The following is a 21,126-nucleotide window of genomic DNA, read 5'->3' as shown; positions in this document are numbered from 1 at the left end:
CATAAATCTGAAAATATATTTAAGATTGGACCACTCACCTACTTAAAATCCTTCAAAAGTTTCCTATTACAGTTAGAACAGGGTTTCTCACCTCAGCAATACTGGTATTTCTTTGTTGTGGGTAGGAGGGGCTATCCTGTGCCCTATAAGATGCTTAGCAGCATCTCTGGCCTTTACCCACTACAGTAGCAGCCCACCCCGAGTTGTGACTATCAGAAACGTTTCTAGGCATTGCCAAATGTCCCTTTGGGGAGGGGGGAAGAAAAATTACTACTGATTCATAACCACTAAATTAGAATCAACCCCAATATCTTACCATGGGCTATACAACCTTTCAAGAGCTGAACTCTGCTCACCTCTCTGATTTTAGTGTATATCGTACCTCACTACGCTCACTATATTCCAGCCACAGTAACCATCTTTTTGTTCTGGGAATGTGCTCTAGCCTCAGGGTTTTTTCCTTTGCTTGGGCTAATCCCTCTTTTTGGAATGCTCTCCACAAACATGTCCCTGCCTCATACCACATTTGCTTATTTGACATTTGTTCACTATTCAGATTTTAACTCAGTGAAATATTACTTGATTTCCTAGACCACTGAAGTTCCCTATATGTACAATCTCAGGTACTGGTACACTTCCTACCCAGGGCCATGTCAATGATGGATCACAATTGTATTTCCAGCACACAATCTAGGGTTGGGTTCCTAGGTTCTAAATCCAGCCCCACTACATATTAGCTATGTGACTTTGGAAAAGTCACTTGATTTATTGAAGACTTATTTTCCTCTTCTATGAAAAAGGGGCCTTACTTCATTGGAAGGGGCCTTACTTCATTATTACTCAAAATATTGAGGAATAAATGAATTACCTAATGGAAATTTTTTTACCAGCATACATACCTACCACATAATAACTCAATAAATGCTAGTTACTACTACTGCTGCTGTTGCTGCTGCTACTACTACTACTACTACCACTACTGCTACTAGTACTACTACTACTACTACTATTACCAATTATTGTTATATTTGCATCAAGACAATGTGACCTTAGGTGGAAATTCAGCCATAGCTTTCCAATTATTTCCTTTTTGGCCCAAGAGGAGCAGCACTTTTCCCTTTAAAATATATGAACAGATTGTTCTTTTTGCTGATTTGATTTTTTTTCACCTTTAAGTGGTTATTTGAATATTCTACTGTGAAGAGCAAAATAATAATATTCAGCCAATTCTGCATGGTCCTTTCTTGGTAAATAAATTGGTTTCTGCATTTGTCCATTTTCATGCTGCTGACAGATATACCTGAGACTGGGCAATTAACAAAAGAAAGAAGTTTAATGGAGTTACAGTTCCATGTGGCTGGGAAGGCCTCACAATCATGGCAGAAGGTGAAAGGCACATCTCACGTGGCAGAAGACAAGAGAAGAGAGCTTGTGCAGGGAAATTCCAGTTTTTAAAACAATCAGATCTTGTGAGACTCATTCACTATCACCAGAACAGTGCAGATAAGACCCAACCCCATAATTCAATCACCTCCTACCAGGTTCCTCCCATGACATGTGGGAATTGTGGGAGTTACAATTCAAGATGAGATTCGTGTGCGGCCAAACCATATCAATTTCTTAGGTGTAACTTCTGATACTTGATGACTTTTCTCAGTGCTTGCCTACCTGCTGAACAGAATAAAACAATTATATAATGCTCACATAATCTCCTATTGCTTTTTAAACTCTCATTTTAAGTCATTTTAAACTGTCATTTTAATTATTATTATTTTAATCTTATAAAGAAGACGGTCTGTAGTAGACAGAATAAACACCCCCCTCCTCAAATATCTCCATGTCCTAATCCTGAGAACCTATGAGTATGTTGCCTTCCATGGCCAAAAAAAAAAAAAAAAAAAAAAGACTTTGAAGATATGATTCAGTTGAGGATCTTGAGATGGGGAAATTATCCTGAATTATCCAGGTAGGTGCAACCACAGGGGTCCTTTTAAAGAGGGAAGGCAGTGTGAATACAGAAGGGGAGAGAGAGATTTGAAGCTACTCCACTGATTTTGAAGATGAATAAGGGGACCAGGAGGCAAGGAATTTAGGTGGTCTCTAGAAGCTGGAAAAGGCAGGAAACAGATTTCTTCCCTAGAGCTCCCACAAGGAACCAGTCCCAAGATGAAAGCCAAGAATGAGGGGGAAAAAACAAGATTTCCTTGTTAACTCACTATTTTTACTTCCTTGTATGTATTGATATATAATTCACATACAATAAAATTCACCATTTTGAAGTGTACAGTTCAGTGGTTTTTACTATCTTAAGATTCCACAATCATTACTGTTATGTAATTCTAGAACATTTTCATCACCCCAAAAAGAAACCCCATATTCACTAGCAGTCACAAACCATTTTCCCTCCTCCTACCCCTGGCAACCACTAATTTTTCTGTTTCCTAGGATTTGCTTATCATTCACATTTCATATTATTAGACTTATACAAAATGTGGTCTTTTGTGTCTGATTCTTTCACTTATAATTTCATAAGTTTAATCCATGTAACATGTATCAGTACTTCATTCATTTTATGGCTGAATAATATTCCATTGTATGGATAGTCCACATTTTTTTTCTCCATCACCAGTTAAAGAGTGTTTGGGTTATTTCCACTTTGGGATATTTTTATGAATAATGCTGCTGTGAATATTGTGTGGGTAGAAGTTTTCCTTTCTCTTGAGTATATGCTATATACCTAGGAGTGGAATTAAGTCATGTGGTAACTCTGTGTTTAACTTTTTCAGGAACTACTAGATTGTATTCCAAAGTAGCTGCACCATTTTATTCCCACTAGCTGTATATGAGGGTTTCAGTTTCTCCACATTCTAATGAACACTTGCTATTGTCTGTCTTTTTTATTGTACCCATCCTAATGAGTATGAAGTGATATTTTAATTGTGGCTTACATTTTCCTTATGGCCAATGATGCTGAACAACTTTTCATGACTATTTGTATATGTTCTTCGGAGAAATGTCTCCAAATGTCTGTAGCCAATTTTTAACTGAATTATTTGCCTTTTTGTTGTTAAGAGGTTTTAATTCTTTATATAGTCTAGATATTAGACCCTTATTAGCTGTATGATTTCCATATTATTAGATATTTGCATATTATTAGATATATGATTTGCTATATGATTATGATTAGATATATGAATTGCATCACATAGATATATGATATCTCTCATATATGCATATATGATATCTCTCATCTATGCATATATGATATCTCTCATATATGCATATGTGATTTGCATATTATTAGATATATGATTTGCAAACATTTTCTTCCATTCTGTAGGTTGTCTTTTTACTTTCATGACAGTGTCTTAAGAAGCGCAAAAGCTTCTAATTTTGATAAGGTAAAATTTTGCTATTTTTTCCTTGGGTGCTCGTGCTTTAGGTGTCATATCTAAGAAACCATCGCTCAACCAAATTTCACCAAGATTTACACTTATGTTTTCTTCTAAGAGTTTTGTAACTTTAGCCATTAAATACAGACCTTCGATCCATTTTGTGTTTTTAGTTAATTCTTGTATATGGTGAGAGGTAAGGGCTCAACTTCATTTATGTGTGGATTTCTAGCTGTCTCATAAAGGTTACTTAAAAAGATTATTAATTCTCCCATTGAATTGAGTTAGCATCCTCATCAAAAGACAATTTACCATTAATGTATAAGTTTACTTCTGAATACTCAATTCTATTCCATTGATCTATTTTTATGCCAGTACAAGATAGCCTTGATTACTGTAGCTATCCATGTACTAATTTCTGAAATAGGAAGGTGTGAGACCTTCAACTTTAATCTTATGTTTCAGGATTGATCTGTCTTTTCTGTCACTCTTGTATTTCCATAGGACTTTTAGGATAAACTTGTCAATTTCTGCAATAAAAGGAAGCTGGGATTTTGTTAAACATCACATTGAATCTATAGATCTATTTGGGGAGTGTTGCCATTTAACAATATTAAGTCGTTCTGTCTGTGAAAATGGCAGGGTCTTTCCATTTTTTTATTTAGGTTTTCTTCCATTCCTTTCAATGATTTTTTTTCTTTAATTTTCAAGGTATACATTTTGCTTTTGTTAAATGTATTATTAGTGTAATTTCTTTTGAATCTATTTTCAATTGAATTGCTTTCTTAATATCACTTTCAGATTGTACATTGACAATATATATAAATACAAGTGGTTATTTTTCCAATACAATACTATGTATTTAAGTGATACCAAGGGAGCTATCTTTCCTCACACTATATATGTTCTATTACAGACTTCAAGGTAAGCCCTACTTCATGAGTATCTTTGGCCTTGGATAACATCTATGACATATTACCAAGTTATATTGTTCATAAATGTATTAATTGAATGACAAATAAGTGCCATGTACTGAGACTGGATACATATATAGAAAAACTCATGGTGTCTACCCTCCAGGAGTAACATAAAGAGACTAGAAACACACAATGTGATACATTTTATGAGAAATTTGTCAAGACAATATAAAATATTGATTCATTACATATTACAATTAACTTTTGCATATTAATCTTGTATCTTACAAACGTGGTGAGCTCATTTACAAGTTCTAATAGTTTTCTTCTGAATTCCACAGTATTTTCTTATATAAGATCATACCATCTGCAAATATGGTTTTACTTCTTCCTTTCCAGTCTGGATGCATTTTACATCATTTTCTTACCTAATTGCTCTTGCTGGCACCTCCAGTACAATGTTGAATAGAAGCAGTGAGAAGCATCCTTATCTTGTGCCTGATATTAGGGGGAAAGCTTTAAGTATTTCACCATTCAATATGATACTAACTGTGAGTTTCTCATAGCTGCCCTTTATCAGCATGAGCAGATTCCTTTCTATTCCTAGTTTATTGAGTATGTTTACATGAAAGAACATTGAATTTCATCAAATGCTTTTTCTGAATATATTGAGAGGATCATGTAATTTTTCCCTTTATTCTATTAATATGGTATCTTACATTAATTGATTCTTGCATGTTGAAGCAACCTTGCATTACTGGAATAAGTCTTACTTAGTCATAGAATATAACATTTTTACGTGCTGCTGTATTCTGTTTGCTAGTATTTCATTGAGGACATTTACATCTATATTGAGAAGAGATATTACTCTATAGTTTGTTTCTTGTGATGCCTTTGTCCGACTTTGTTATTCGGGTAATACTGGCTTCATAGAATGAACTGATAAGTACATTCTCCCCTTTGAGGTTTTGGAAGTTTGTGAAGTATTGGTGTTAATTCTTTTTTTTTTCAGATGACTTGCATTTTACTGCTACACAATAATTATACATATTTATGGGGTACATGTGATATTTTGATAGATGCATGCAATTTGTAATAATCAAATCAGGGCAATTGAGACATTAATCACCTCAAACATTTTTTTTGTGTGTGTGAGTCCATTCCAAGTATTCTTTTCCAGGTACTTTAAAATATACAATAAATTATTGATAACTATAGTCTTTCTACTATGCTACTGAAAACTAGAACTTATTCTTTCTATCTAATTGCATTTTGTACCCATCAATGAACCTCTCTTCATCTTTCTCCCAACTCTAACTTCTGGTGAATACCATTCTGTTCTCCATGTCTATGAGATCAACGTTTTTAGCTTCCACATATGAGGGAGAACATGTGATATTTGTCTGTCTGCATCTGGCTTATTTCAGTTACATACCCTCCAGGCTCATCCGTGTCTTGCAAATGAAGGATTTTATTATTTTTATGGCTGAATATTATTTCATTTTGTATATATACCACATTTTAAAAATCCATTTATCCATTGATGGACACTTAGGTTGATTTCATATCTTGGTTATTGTGTATAGTGCTGTGATAAACATGGGAGTGCAGATATATTCAATATACTGATTGCCTTTCTTTTGGATATATACCCAGCAGTGCAATTGCTGAATTATACGGTAGCTCTACCTTTAGTTTTTCTTAGGAACCTCCATACTATTTTTCATAATGACCATGCTAATTTACATTTCCACCAACAGTGTATGAGAGTTTCTCTTTCTCAACATCCTCGCCAGCATCTGCTATTTTTTGTCTTTTTGATAATGGCCATTTTAACTGAAGTGAAATGCTATCTCATTGTGGTATTGATTAGCATTTCACTGATGATTAGTGGTGTTGAGCATTTTTCATATACCTGTTGACCTTTTCTATTTCTTCTTTTGAGAAATGTCTGTTCACATCATTTGCCCATTTTAAAATTGGATTATTTTTTCTTTTTGCTGTTGAATTGCTTGAGTTCCTTATATATTGTGGTTATTAATCCCTTGTTAGGTAGCCTGAAAATATTTTTTCCCATTCTGTGGGTTGTCTCTTCAATTTGTTGTTTCCATGGCTGTGCAAAAGTGTTTTAGCTTGATGTGTTCCCATTTGTCCATTTCTGTTTCTGTTGCCTCTGCTTTTAAAGTCTTACACCCAAAATCTTTGCCTACACCAATGTCCTGAAAAATTTTCCAATGTTTTCTTTTAGTTTCATAGTTTCAGGTCTTACATTGGTCTTTAATCCACTTTGATTTGATTTTTATATATGGTAAGAGATAGGAATCTAGTTTCATTCTTCTATGTATGGATATCCAGTTTTTCCAGCACCATTTATTGAAGACAGTCCTTTCCCCAATGTATGTTCTTGGTGCCCTTGTCAAAAATGAGTTGGCTGTAAATGAGTGGATTTATTTCTGGGTTCTCTATCATGTTCCATTGGTATGTGTGTCTTGTTTTTATGTATCATGCTGTTTTTGTTATTATGGCTTTTTCTTTTTAGGCACTCAATGAAGATTCTTTTTATTAATATCAACAATAACGTGGATGCTTTATTCATTAAGTATCTATTATTTATGTGCCAGGGGCTGTGTTGGCTTCTACATAAATTGCTGGGATTCCACACATATCTTTTCGAGTCTAGAAGTCATGGAAAACTCCTTTACAAATAACTGCTTAATTAGGGTTTTGTGAATGAATGTGGATTACTGCTCTCATTTAATAGAGAGCAGAGACTTGCTCTGTGTCTGGGACAGGTCTTGTACATGTGAGGGTGCCAGGGAAGAGTCAACCAGTGGCCCTAATTTGGTGATAGTTTCTATTTCCTTCTTCCCTCAATAAAACTCAGTTTCTTGAGTTTTCTCTGCTTTTTTGATACTTCATCTGTTGGCACTGTCAGGGAACATCTGGTATCTCGGAACTATAAGCATCGTATGTACCCCTCACGTATATAAAACTCTTATGTTTTAATTGTTTTGAGTAAAACAATTAAAATGTAAAAAATCCTTAGCATTCTCCCTCTCTCTGAATCATACTAACTTTGAGACTAATAGTAGGTTTTTTTTTTTAATTTTTTTTTACTTTTAATTTTGTGGGTACATAGTAGATGTATGTATTTATGGGATACATGAAATGTTTTGATACAGTCATGCAATGTGACATAATCACATCATGGAGAATGGGGTATCCATCCCCTCAAGCATTTATCCCTTGTTTTACAAACAATCCAATTACACTGTTTAGTTATTTTGAAATGTAAAATTAAGTTATTATTGACTGCAGTCACCCTGTTGTGCTATCAAAATATAGCTTCAATGTATATTTTAAAACAAGATAGTATGGTGCATCCAACTTTGTTTTTTTATTCAGAGTTGCTTTGGCTATTTGGGGTCTTTTGTGATTTCTAGGTATTTTGTTGTAGCTATTGTAAGTGGGATTGCTTTCTCGACTTCTTCTTTAAGATTGTTCACTCTTGGCATATAGAAATGCTACTGATTTTTGTATGTTTATTTTGTGTGAGATTGATATTAATTATTCCTTAAACATGGGAGATTTCACCAGTGAGCCATTTGGGGCTGGGCTTCTCTTTGTGGTATTTTTTTATTACTAATTTGATTTATTTACTTGATAAAATAATGTGTATTCATATTCTCTATTTTATCTTGAGTCAGTTTCTGTAGTTTGTGTCTTTTATGTATTTTTCTATTTCATCTATATTACGTAAATTGTTTGCATACAATTTTTCATTGTATCCCCTTATAATCCTTTTTATTTCTTTAAAGTTAGTAGTAATATCCAGCTTTTAATGCTGATTTCAGTAATATGAGTCTTCGGTTTTTCTTCTTGGACAGTCTAGCTAAAGGTCTGTAAATTTTCTTTGTAATTCCAAAGAACCAATTTTGGGTTTTGTTGGTTTTTTATATTATTTTCCTATTATCCATTGTATTAATTTCTGCTCTAATTTTTAATATATTATTCCATCCGTGTGCTTTGGGTTTAGTTTGCTCTTCCTTTTTAGTTTCTTAAGTCGAAAGGTTAGGTTACTTACTTTAGGTCTCTCTTTTTAAAAATAAAGATGTTTATGCTACAAATTTCCCTTTAAGCTCAGCTTTTGCTGCGTTCCATAACTTTTTGTTTGTTGTACTTTCATTTACATTCATCTCAGGATACTTTTTCTTATGATTTCTTCATTCACTCATTATTCATTTAGTAATATGCTGTTAATTTTTCATATATGTAGTTTTCCCAAATTTCCTTCTGTTATTGATTTCTATGTTCATTCCATTCCATTGTGGTCAGAGAACATACTTGCATCATTTCAACCATTTTTAATTTATCGAGTATTGTTTTATATTTTAGTATATGGTTTGTCCTGGAGAATGTTCCATGTGTGCTCGAGAAGATGTTCCATGTATTAGGCTGGTGCAAATCACTTTTGCACCAACCTATATTTTGCTGTTGTTGAGTGGCATGTTCTGTAGATGTCTTTCAAGTCTAGTTTGTTTACAGTGCTGTTAAAGTCTTCTATTTCATTGTTGACTATCCATTATTATTCTGTTGCTCTAACATAGTTATTCTATCCATTATGCCAGTGGGGTATTGAAAGCTCCTGCTGTTACTACTGAACTACCCATTTCTCACTTTAATTCCCTCAGTTTTGTTTTATGCATTTTTGGCTTTATTGCTAGGTGCACATATGTTTATAATTGTCATATCTTCTTGAGGAATTGATCCATTTATCATTATGAAATGTCCCTTTTTTTCTTAGAAACAATTTTTTTTCTTAAAGGCTATTTTGTCTGATTTTAGTGTAGTCATTTCAGCTCTTGTTTTGTTATCATTTGTGTGGTATATCTTTTTCCAGAACTCTGGAAATTATCCAAAGTTTTGTAGCAGTCCGGAGCTTTAAAAAAGTTAATCCTGAGAAATATTGTCAGTTTTTAAAATTGATTTTAAGAATAAAATTTCAGAGGTCTACTCTGCAATTTTTACTGATTTCATTGTTTGACTCATTCTTTTAGGACATTTAAGAGTTTTCCTAAGTATCTGGTTTTGAGAGACTTTTGTTACTGAGTTTTGATATGATTGCATTGTGATGAGAACATACTCAATCTGAATAAATTTATTTTGTTAATTGATGGAAGTTTTTATTTTAACTTGGAATTTTAGAATTAGAATAAACTATAATTAACTGAAGTTTAAATAAATGGCCTTTTAAATTTCATTCCTTGCTGAAAATATTTCATATATATATGAAATATATAAATATATATAAATATTTCATATATATATATAAATCAATTTTCATGGGCCACTCAGGACATAGACACTAATGGATGCAAGAGAACATTTCTGTACTTGCTGAGGATTTTTGCAGTGTTTAAGGGCCATCATTCAAATACAGGCTTTGGTGTCAAACTGGTCTGGATCCAAATACCAGTCCCATTACCACCATGTGACCTTGGACAAGTGACTTAACTTCATGTCCTTGGACAATTTAACATCACTAATCTTCCATTTTGTCATCTATAGAATTAAAATATATTACAACTTTTACATGATTGTTGTCAGGATTAAACAAAATGACAGATATCTAGAATGGCTGGAATGGAAGACATATGAAGGAATAGGGTGTAAAACATTAGCTGGGGCCCGATCAAAAAGAGATGGACATGTGGAAAGTGCCTCATAAATCTTTATTCTTTTCCCTATTTCTTTATATAGCTATCACAGGAAAATTGCAGAAAACTGGGCTTATTGGGAAACTAAGACACACCAAATTGGCTGACTTTCACGCATTTTGTTTTTGGTTTTGTTTGTTTGTTTGTTTTTAGTAGAGACGGGGTTTTGGCCAGGCTGGTCTCAAACTCCTGACCTCAAATGATCCGCCCACCTTGCCTCCCAAAGTGCTGCGATTACAGGCGTGAGCTACCGTGCCCCGCCACTTTATTGTTATTTTCTTCTCTCTGAAGGGTAATGACAACAACATTCCAGTAAGATGAGACTTCTAGTTGGTTGAGTTCCAATTAATTGAGGTTTTTATCTATTATCAATAACTGGGAGTTGACTTTAAATGAGAAAAAACCTTGTGACTCTCTAAGTATGTAATTTTGAATGGAAAAGTGTTAAGACTAATCACTTACTCAGGGTCTGTGAGAAATTCTGTATTTAGCTTTTTATTTTGAGGGTCTTGAGTGGCATCAAGTATTACATTTCTAAAAAGAAATCCATCCAGTAAAATTTTGTTCAAGTGAACTCAAATTAAGCTTCCCAATTAATTCACTTAGCTTTCCTTTGATAAGTGTGTTTTGTGTTGAAATACCGGTATAAAAAGAATAACAAATATTAAGTTAATTTAGAGTAATTAGAAAAATGGTTCTTCCTTTGTTGGGTTTAAATGTGGTCCAATCTTTGAGGGTTTAACCTTTTCTAGTAGGATCATTTGGTATTAAGATAGGGAAAAGTGAAACATTAGTAAAATTCAAGCCACTACATTCTGCTTTTAAATCTGTGTTCACCTTTCTACTCTTGTAATCTAAGCTCAACTGTTCATTCCTTTTATCTCCATCCTCTTCAAATCTTCTTCATGTTTTCCTTATAGATTAAAAGATGGGAATTTAAAGCACTAGTTTTATGTAGTGTGTAGATGTGTACAAATTCCTATATTTGTTTACGTACATACACATACACCTTATTCTTGAATGTGCACCTCGGGGTCTACAAAAGATATCCACATATCTCGACTGTTTATCACAACAGCCTTTCGAAGTCAGAGTTTGTAATCCCCATTGTTAGAAATGGGGAAGCCTAGATTTTTTAATCCACTTTAAACTAAATTTTCTCCCCCCATACACACAATATTTAAATAACATTTCATAATTTAAATATAAATTAGTGCTGTCCCTTTTAGGGCTATACACTTACTTCAGTTTGGTTAACGACCCTCCTCTTTGGAAACTATCTTCTGAGCCCATTCTTATGACTCTCAGTGGTGCAAAAGTTCAGTCTCCTGAGAGTGGGTTTAATTTTTGGAAAGGACACCTTCCCTGGAAGCGAAGTCTAATGCAGTAGGGGGGCGACATTGGATCAAACTGAACAATGCTGTTTGTGTTCACTGACTAGGTGTGGATCTGAAGAAATGACTGTGCTTTTCTTTTACGACTCAGATACTGGCTCTAAAGACATTTCCCCAAGAGGAGTTCCAAAATGTGAAGTACTGGCAGTGAAAAGTCTACTTTTGAAAGACAAAGGTCACTTGGATGTTTCAAGTGTTGAGAGTTTCCTTCAAAGTAGTCTCATTGCATTTTAGGCAGGCAGTGGTCATTACACAGTAGATCAGCTTGTTCCCTAATGATTTAAGTATAACTTCACTTTCACTGACCTCACCTTCTGTAAAACAAAGCCTTGAAGCACTTAGCAGGAGTCACTTATTTTAAAAAACCCTAGGCCTCGCTTAAATCACACTTGTTCCCTTCAGGCCCTCAGTAGGCATCACCCTAGAATCAAAGTGAAGAATGATTTGGGTGTCCTGCTGATGTAGGAACCATCTTAGTGAAGAGAATTGCCTCTGTTGATTGGATTGAGGAATCCTAAAATCTAGATAACTTATTCCAAATCTTTCAAATGTAAAGAGCTTGGATGCATGTGGGTTTTACTGCTCTGAAAGGAACTGTGACTCAGGTTAGGATTGAGAAACAAATGTAATCAGTGGCATTCAACATCCTTTTAATTCTGGGAGGTCACAATGTTAAAGGGACTTAAGACAAGGATCCCATAACTGAAGCATGCTGAAAAATACATAATAGGATTCAGGAGAAATCATCCTCAGGAGTGTTAAGAAATAATCACAGTTCTGTGGTGCCTTTCTTCTTTGCCACTGAAATGCAGCCAACTCTTGGTGGCAGAGCATGCAGCCCACTTCCACACAGCACACTGCATAGCACAAGTGGAAAGAAGAGTAGGAAAACTTTCATTGCCTTCCCAATGTTTAGCCAAATTTTTATACTCCTGTGAAAAGACCCTGATGCTTCTCATTGTAATGCTTTGTCTGGAAAGAGCAAGTATCTGGTAATTGACCTTGGTTAGGATTCTTGGAAGCTACAAACACAGGGCTGCCAGCTTTGAATTTTTCCATTGCATTGTGCAATGGCACAGCCAGGGGGTTCTGTCCTTGGACCATTATGCAGTAGAGGAGCACACAAGTAATTCTTTAAGAATGTTCACTTGTGAATAGAGTTTGCTGCTGTGGCATATGCTTCCTTTAGAGACAGGGAGCACCGGCAGAGGAATGGTGCTGGCTACAGAGGGCGACACTTAATGCATATTTTGACTTTTGATTTTTACAGCCAAGGCTGGACTGTTCCTTTTGGACTTTGATCTAAGCCTTATCATTCATTACACATTGTTATGAACCATCGGTTTTAATTACACTGCCTTTCTTTATACTCTCCTCCTTGGTCTGCCTTCCTAGGTCCATTAGAAACATTGTTTCATAGAAGCACTATTGAGAGAAAACAACAGTGCTTCCATATTTCCATATTTCCCTTCTTATGTGCCCCTTATCTCTCTCTCTCTTTCTCTCTCTCACTCTCCCTCCCCTTTCCTATTTAGTGAAGCACCTGCATTATTCATATGTGAATGTTGGCCCTTTTATATTTCACAGAATAGCAGAAAGAAAAAACAATGACAATTTTGAAAAATGTACTACTTAAGTACACTCCATTTTTTAAAGTTGCTTTTTTCTCTGACCTATGTAAAATGTAAGGGTCTAAGCAGTATTATAGTCACACTCCCATTTAACTGTCACTCAGGCAATCAGAACCTTCAAGCAACTGGCAGAAGTTGCAACTGCATGTGCAATCTGGGGAATCCTACACTGACAAGAAGGCCTGCACTCCAAAGCTGCCTGCCTAAGTCTTCAGACACATGGGGAAAGATGCTGAAGTTGCCTAGCAGTACTTCACATATGCTAATTGCAGCCATCAATGATTGTGGAAAGAGGGGACTCTGTGGCTAAGACTGGCTGGTCATGGCATACAATCAATTTGAGTGCATCTGAGGGAAAGGATGCAGGTTTGTATAAAAAGGGTTGTATTTACCAAGGAAATACCGTATCATATATGAGCTGTTTTTAATGAGCTGAAAAGAATTATTTTTATAATAAACAGTGACACAGGCTGGTGGAGAAATGCAAATGTCAATTTTTTTTTTTTTTTTTTTGCCTTAGAAAAGAGGAAAATAGGTCTCATCATAGGATGAAGAAGACAAAGATGAGTAAAAATTGGGGGAGGGAGTGTACAAAATACAAGACATTTAAACCACTCGTCTATAATTTCTCCAGTTCTTCTGAATCATTCTGTTATCTGTGCCTGAACCTATACAAACTGTGATTTGAATTGGGATGGAAAAGTACTGCTCCAGCCTGTAGTTTAGAAGTCTCAGAAGATATCTAGTCCAACTCATTTCACTCGTGTATTCATTTATGCCTTCCTTCCTTCATTTATTCATCAAACATGTTTGAGTGCTCACTGCATTCGAGGTGATAGTAATACAAATATAAGTAAGATATAGTCCATGCTCTGAAAGAGTTCAAGGCCTATTGGAATAGTGCATTAGCAGACAGACTGGAAAGTGGAGAGGCTGAATTGTGTTCAACACATAGCGGGAGCACAAAGGGGAGGATGATCACTTTTGCCAAAGTAAGTTAAAAAAAAATCATAATAGGGCTGGGTGCGGTGACTCACGCCTGTAATCCCAGCACTTTGGGAGGCTGGGGCAGGTGGATCACCTGAGGTTAGGAGTTCGAGACCAGCCTGGCCAACATGGTGAAACCCCCATCTCTACTAAAAATACAAAAATCAGCCGGGTGTGGTGGCGCACACCTGTAGTCCCAGCTACTCAGAAGGCTGACGTAGGAGAATCACTTGAACCCAGAGGCAGAGGTTGCAGTGAGCCGAGATCATGCCACTGCATTCCAACCTGGGCAACAAAGTGAGACCCTGTCTCAAAAAAAAATCATAATAATTCACAGACCAGGTATCATTACTGATGAAGACAATGAGGCCTGCAGAGGGAAAGTGAGCTGCCTAAAGTCTGTGTGGGAGGCAGAATTGCATACCACCTTGCCATTGCTATAAAGGCCTTAGTATCACACCTCAGTACAGCAATAACAGGCCAGTCTTGCCCCCATAAATGGCAAAGGAAGCCTGAACCATTTACTTAAAGAATTCCACAGAAACAAAATTACATTCTCCTATGGGACAAGGGAGGTTAGAGAGAATGATTAGAAAGATTTAGTGTTCCCTTCCTTTCCCTCCTCCTCTGGCTTATTCTGCTCAGCCAGAACCACCCAAAACAGCCTGGACTTTGGGTCCTCATGAGACTTTTTCCTAGTGGGTTGTTACCAGGACTGATGCTTTGTCTACAAGAGTGACGTCTTGGGGTTGGTAAAAGGCTGTATTTCTAATCATCCGTAACTAAGAGGTTAGATCAGTTAGCACATGTGTTATCCTCATTCAGGAGTGAAGGGAAGTCCACACTGCTGGGGCAGCCTCGCCAGTGAGCAGTTTTATTGCATAAAGAAAGAAGAATCTCCCCTTCTCCCCCATTAATCTGAATCTCATTTTCTAATGAGTCCACCTTCTGGAAATGTTACTGCAGTTACTTACATGACCACCTTCAAGGGACTTCTTTATTAAGTCGTAATCAGAGGGTTTTATTTGATAAGATTTGAACATGAAGAGAAACAGTAACAACAGACCAAATCTGGCAATCTGTCTTTATTATTATTTGTTAACAGTAAAGACAAGGGTAAGGAATTATGATCTCACCTCTTTCCTTGATCATTTTAAGTATATTTGTGATAGAGGCCTATAACCCTTTTTGAGTTAAGATATGTATATCAGAGGGAGTAAGATGATGGATGAGTTATCTAAGAATATGCAATAAATTGGTAATGCTAGAGGCAATGATACTGACTCTCAAGCTAGGATTTAACTTCTTTTGGGTCCCATTACAATCAGAAAGTAAATGTGTGCTATGTGTAAAATATGCAAAGGAATATTGTACTACAAAATTTTTACATGCTGTCATTTAAATGGGAATGTTAGCTACACAAAATGAAAGATTATAATAATGTTAATAGACTTTTTTCTTCTTAGGCTTTATTCATTTATTTGGAAAACATATAGTGTTACACTGTTCTAAAACTTATAAAAGTTCTAAATTCATTCATCTTCATAACTACCTTTTGAGGTAGATACCATTATTTTCCCCAATGTACATACAGATGTTAAACTGGTTTATTTTAAATTTGAATTTGTTAATAAAGGGAAGAAGCGGTTTACACATTTACTTCCCATTATTATACAAATTGAGTAGACCCATTTTTTTTTTCTTCAAAAGAAAATGATTAAGGCAAATTGTCAATTTCCATTTTTTCAGAGAAATCAATGTTTACGGTATGCCCGTTATCCTGCCTTATCCTCAACCTCACCCTTCTCTTCATCAATGAAAATGTACTATTACTGGCTTTTGGAAGAACATAGTAACTAAGGTATAATTACACGCTATCTCTCAGGAGCAAAGCAGACTTGGGGTCTGAATGTTATTTACAGCCCCATGTTTTCCTTCCCAAGACTTCTGCTGTCTTCTAGCTAATTTTAGCTGTGTGAAGGAGGAAGACTGATGGATCCAATTGCCAAAGCAGACAGAGTGTGGACATGCAGTGCCAGGTTCATGCCGTAACTGGTGATGACACCTCAGTAGAACCTTGCAACAGTTCTTGTAATCCCAGCTGGACCTCCCCTGAGCAGAGACAGCAATTATGTGTAGTGGCTTTCAGATGTAAACAAATGTTCATGGGGAACTGACTTATAATCAGCCAAGTCATTTCATTTATGGCTTACATCAAATTGGAATGAAAGGCTCTGATCAGGGAAATTGAGCACATTCATTTACTATCTCAGCAAGTGTTTTTAGAACTTATGTACAATTCTTTCCCTTTAAAGATATGACTGTTCAGTGTATTTAAGGCTTGAAAGCATTTTAGAAATAGAGTGTATCTTAAAAATAACTCTATATCTCCTTTTGTACTTAGCTCCAGTATACCAATGTATATTTGGCCATTTTCCATTACTGTTATTTATTATGACTCAGTGCCATATGCCTGGGAAGGGATAACATAGAAAATTATGTTTTTATGGGAACGTTGGTGGTGCCATGTTATTTCTCTGTTTCTCAGTCTCTGTCTTTGTTTCTCTTTCTTTTATTAACTGTGCTTCAGCAAATGCTTTAAAACGATGGTAGCTGACACCATCACTGGCCATCAGAGAAATGCAAATCAAAACCACAATGAGATACCATCTCACACCAGTTAGAATGGTGATCATTAAAAAGCCAGGAAACAACAGGTGCCGGAGAGGATGTGGAGAAATAGGAACACTTTTACACTGTTGGTGGGACTGTAAACTAGTTCAACCATTGTGGAAGTCAGTGTGGCGATTCCTCAGGGATCTAGAACTAGAAATACCATTTGACCCAGCCATCCCATTACTGGGTATATACCCAAAGGACTATAACTCATGCTGCTATAAAGACACATGCACACGTATGTTTATTGTGGCACTATTCACAATAGCAAAGACTCGGAATCAACCCAAATGTCCAACAATGATAGACTGGATTAAGAAAATGTGGCACATATACACCATGGAATACTATGCAGCCATAAAAAATGATGAGTTCATGTCCTTTGTAGGGACATGGATGAAATTGGAAATCATCATTCTCAGTAAACTATTGCAAGAACAAAAAACCAAACACCGCATGTTCTCACTCATAGGTGGGAATTGAACAATGAGAACACATGGACACAGGAAGGGGAACATCACACTCTGGTGACTGTTGTGGGGTGGGGGGAGGGGGGAGGGATAGCTTTAGGAGATATACCTAATGCTAAATGACGAGTTAATGGGTGCAGCGCACCAGCATGGCACATGTATACATATGTAACTAACCTGCACATTGTGCACATGTACCCTAAAACTTAAAGTATAATAATAATAAAATAAAAAAAAGATGGTAGCTGAGAGAATTGTTTAAAAAATACAAAAACCATACTAAAACTTTATATAGAATGAGTTAAAAACCAGAATGTCTATTTCTTTCAGCCATTGGTTAGGTATGAAACAAAAAACTGTTAAAATGCATGGGCAGATGTGGAAAATGTGAGTACATAAGACCAAATGATTCCAGAACTCTATGCCCTGCCATATACATTTCTTTCTTGAATACTATATGCTGCCTCTCTGCTCAGATCTACCCTTGCTTCTGCAGTGCCCATGACTATGCTCCAGCCATTTAGCAAGTACTCAAAACTTTAAGACCACTCAGTGTTTGAACTCAATACACAGAAGAAATGCTAGGTACTTTGGAAGGTGAAAATAAGCAAGTGAACTCCTCAAGAATAGGTGTATGAACTAGTTTGAAAAACAAGATAATGTGCAGGAAGAATTCAAATCATTAGGCAGGCAATCTGAAACTGGATATGAAGCAGGGAATCAAAGTAGGCGTGGACTGGGTAAGTTTCCTGGGGGATACAGGACTTCAACGAGTCCTTGAAGAGAAGTCAAACTTGAGGTTTATGGAGGAGGTAGGAATTGTGCTAGGACTGAAGCATTTGGACCTGGGCTCAAGTCCTGCCTCCTTCTCATAATGGCTGTATAACCTTGGGAAGATTATTTTATTTACCACACACTTATACAACACTCCATATGTGGCAGGCACTGTTCTAAGTGCTTTGTAAATAGTAACTCACTTAAGCTTTATAATAATTCTATAAAGCAGGTACTATTATTATCCTCATTTTCCTCTAAGAGGAAACTAAGGAACAGAGAGGTTAACTAACTTGCCCAGGATCACACAGCTAGTAAGTGACAGAGCAGGAGCCAAACCCAGGCAGCTAAGTCTACACTTAGCTACTATACTATGCTGCAAATTTCACAGCTTTTCTATTAGTTTTCCATTTATTGAACAAATAGAGGCAATAATTCATTTGGGTCCTGTTGTGAAGAGTACATGTGATAAGGTCAGTGAAAGTGCCTGGTACAACGAAGGCACTGGATAAAAAAGCTGTTTTTCCTCTTTCTTTTTTTTTTCCTTTCTCTTGAAAACTCAGCTTTCTCCTGGTTCTTGGAATCGGTCCTGTCTTGCTATTTTCTTGAATACTATATGCTGCCTCTCTGCTCAGATCTCCTATCCTTGCTTCTGTAGTGCCTATGACTATGCTCCAGCCATTTTGTGAGTACTTTGTTTTTTTTTCTTTTCTTTTATTTGTTAATTGACTTATAACAATTTTAACTATTTCTGGGGTACATAGTGATGTTTCAATACACATATTGTACAGGATCGGATCAGGGTAATTAGCATATTCATCATCTTGAACATTTATCATTTACTTGTGTTGGGGACATTCAATATCCTCCTTCTAGGTATTTGTGAGTGCTTTCTTAATACATGTTAAGTTCCCAGCCACAGGTGCCTACCTCACCCTATGGAGCGGGCCAACCTCTAAATTATAGCCCCTTCTAGTCAGTAGTTACTGAGCCAGACCTAGCTGTGTTCCACACAGGACATCCCTGTCCTGTCTTGGGGAGGGATGTGGAGGCATCTGTCTCTGTAGGCACTTATTCACTCAGTAGGTACTTAATACATATCTGTTGATTGTGTTTCTGGCCCTGTGTTAGGTGGTGTATGATACACATGAAAATAGGGAAATGAAAAACAATACAGGACAAAGGGAGTAGGGAAGACAGTAGGGCTGAGGAAGCTCTATGCTCCATCCAGAAGACCGTGCAGCCCCTGGCTTTGCCCAGCTTTAGTACCCAGTAGCCCTTAGGCTGCTTCCCAATGCTCTTTCCCTCTTATTTCCCTCCCAGCATCATTTAGCCATCCTTCATCTGCTGGTTTCAGGGTCCAACTTCCAGAAGCTAAGTAATCTGATAAAAGTAATCTCTGCTAAAGTGTTCATCCAGCTAACAGGTTGATGTGTTATTCTTCCCAGGTAATTTGTTCATTTTGAGAGGGGTTTTTTGAGGACATTAAGGCATGATGGCAGGAAATTTTAGGTCTCATTGCAACCTAGAGAGGAAGAGAGTGCCCCCGCATGACCCAGGCTTTCAGGATTAGCCTCGGTCTGGTTTCTATGGCCGTTTGCAAAATCTTTCTGGTGCCAAAGGCACTTCACTGTCTTATGGCTTTTACTATGCCTCAACCAAGTTTGGATCAAAGAGAAAACACATGATCCTCCTGTTTTTTTGTATTTGGAATGCGTTTTCTTGGACTCATGAAGAAAATTCTCCTGATCGCAAGAGAAGCTGAGGAATGGGCTATTTGTACCTGGATAAAAATAGGCAGTACTCATGATCTGGTAGCCAGCATTCTAAGTGCTTGACATATGTGATCTCATTTAATTCCCACTGCAAACGCCATGAAGCAAATACTATCATTATCTCACTTTTTGAACAAAGAACTGAGGCATAGAGAGCGTAAGTAAGTTGTTCAAGGTCACACTGCTACCAAGTGAACTCATGAAGTGTAGCTCCAGGATCTATGCCCTTAATCACTACCCTATCTCTATCAGTGTCTCAGGCTCAAGTCTCCTTTTCCTTCATAGAATCAGCAGATAGATCAGACACAATTGGCTCATAGAGACTCATCATTAAGGCACACACTGTAATCCCACAGTGGGGGTATTGCAGCCATGCCCCATGTTTGGCCGAGCAGAAACAGGCCACTGACCTGGCACTCTGACCTTGCTCATAGGAGCTTAAGCTACTCTGAGGTTGATATCACCCTCTTCCCTTCTATGCTGCACAAGGTTGACAAAGGACTGCCTCTCAAGCCCTCCTTCTCCCACTCCATTCTATCCCAAAAAAGGAAGGAATGCTCAGCCCTGGGGGTTGCTCTGTAACTTTGACAAAGAACAGCTGAAGTGTGACTAATCCTATTTTCTAAAAGTAAAAGGATGATTCTCCAAACTAACCTTCCAGTATGACTAGAGGTAAGCCAATCTCTTCTCAAGCTAACGTGCACACTATGCCTCCAAAGCTGCAATACCTTCCACATTCTCTCACTAATGGATCACTTACTGTGTGTTAGGTACTGTGTTAAATGCTTTCAAAACCTTGCCATATATTAATCCTACAATATATACTTCAAAAAGGTACTAGTATTATCTTCATTTTATTTGTGAGGAAGCTGAGAGAGAATAACTTGCCCAAGGTCACTGTACCACCAATAGCTATTTTTTAGCTTCTTGCCCGTTCTCTGCATTTGTGCATTGCCATTCAGTTTCATCTCAGGTTCCATGATTAAAGGCACCCATTCATACTGATACTACATTCACAATATCTTGAATGCAAAATACGAGATGATAATTATTGCATCAACATATCTCATGAGAGTTAAAAGCATGTTTTAGCATAATTAAGAGGTAGATAGTTGAAAACTCAAAAATTGGCATAGCAGAGTTTCCCGTACATACAAATATAAATCTTTCATGTTTGTGTTCATTGTTCTTCCTGTGATGATAAATCTAATGGAATTTTGATATGTAGTACTTTCCACTTGACATAGTTTAGGGCCTTGAAGAAGCTTTTGATTTGGCCTTGCCCATGCATAAATAATTAAAAGAGAATTCAATTTGAGTGCCCTTTATAACAGAATTTAAAAATAATGAATTCAGCTCATTCACTTTAAAAATGAACAAAAGCAATGTTTTA

This window comes from Homo sapiens, chromosome X, assembly GCF_000001405.40.
Source record: "Homo sapiens chromosome X, GRCh38.p14 Primary Assembly".
In the NCBI taxonomy this organism is placed as follows: domain Eukaryota; kingdom Metazoa; phylum Chordata; class Mammalia; order Primates; family Hominidae; genus Homo; species Homo sapiens.
Note: the sequence above shows the minus strand (reverse complement) of the source record.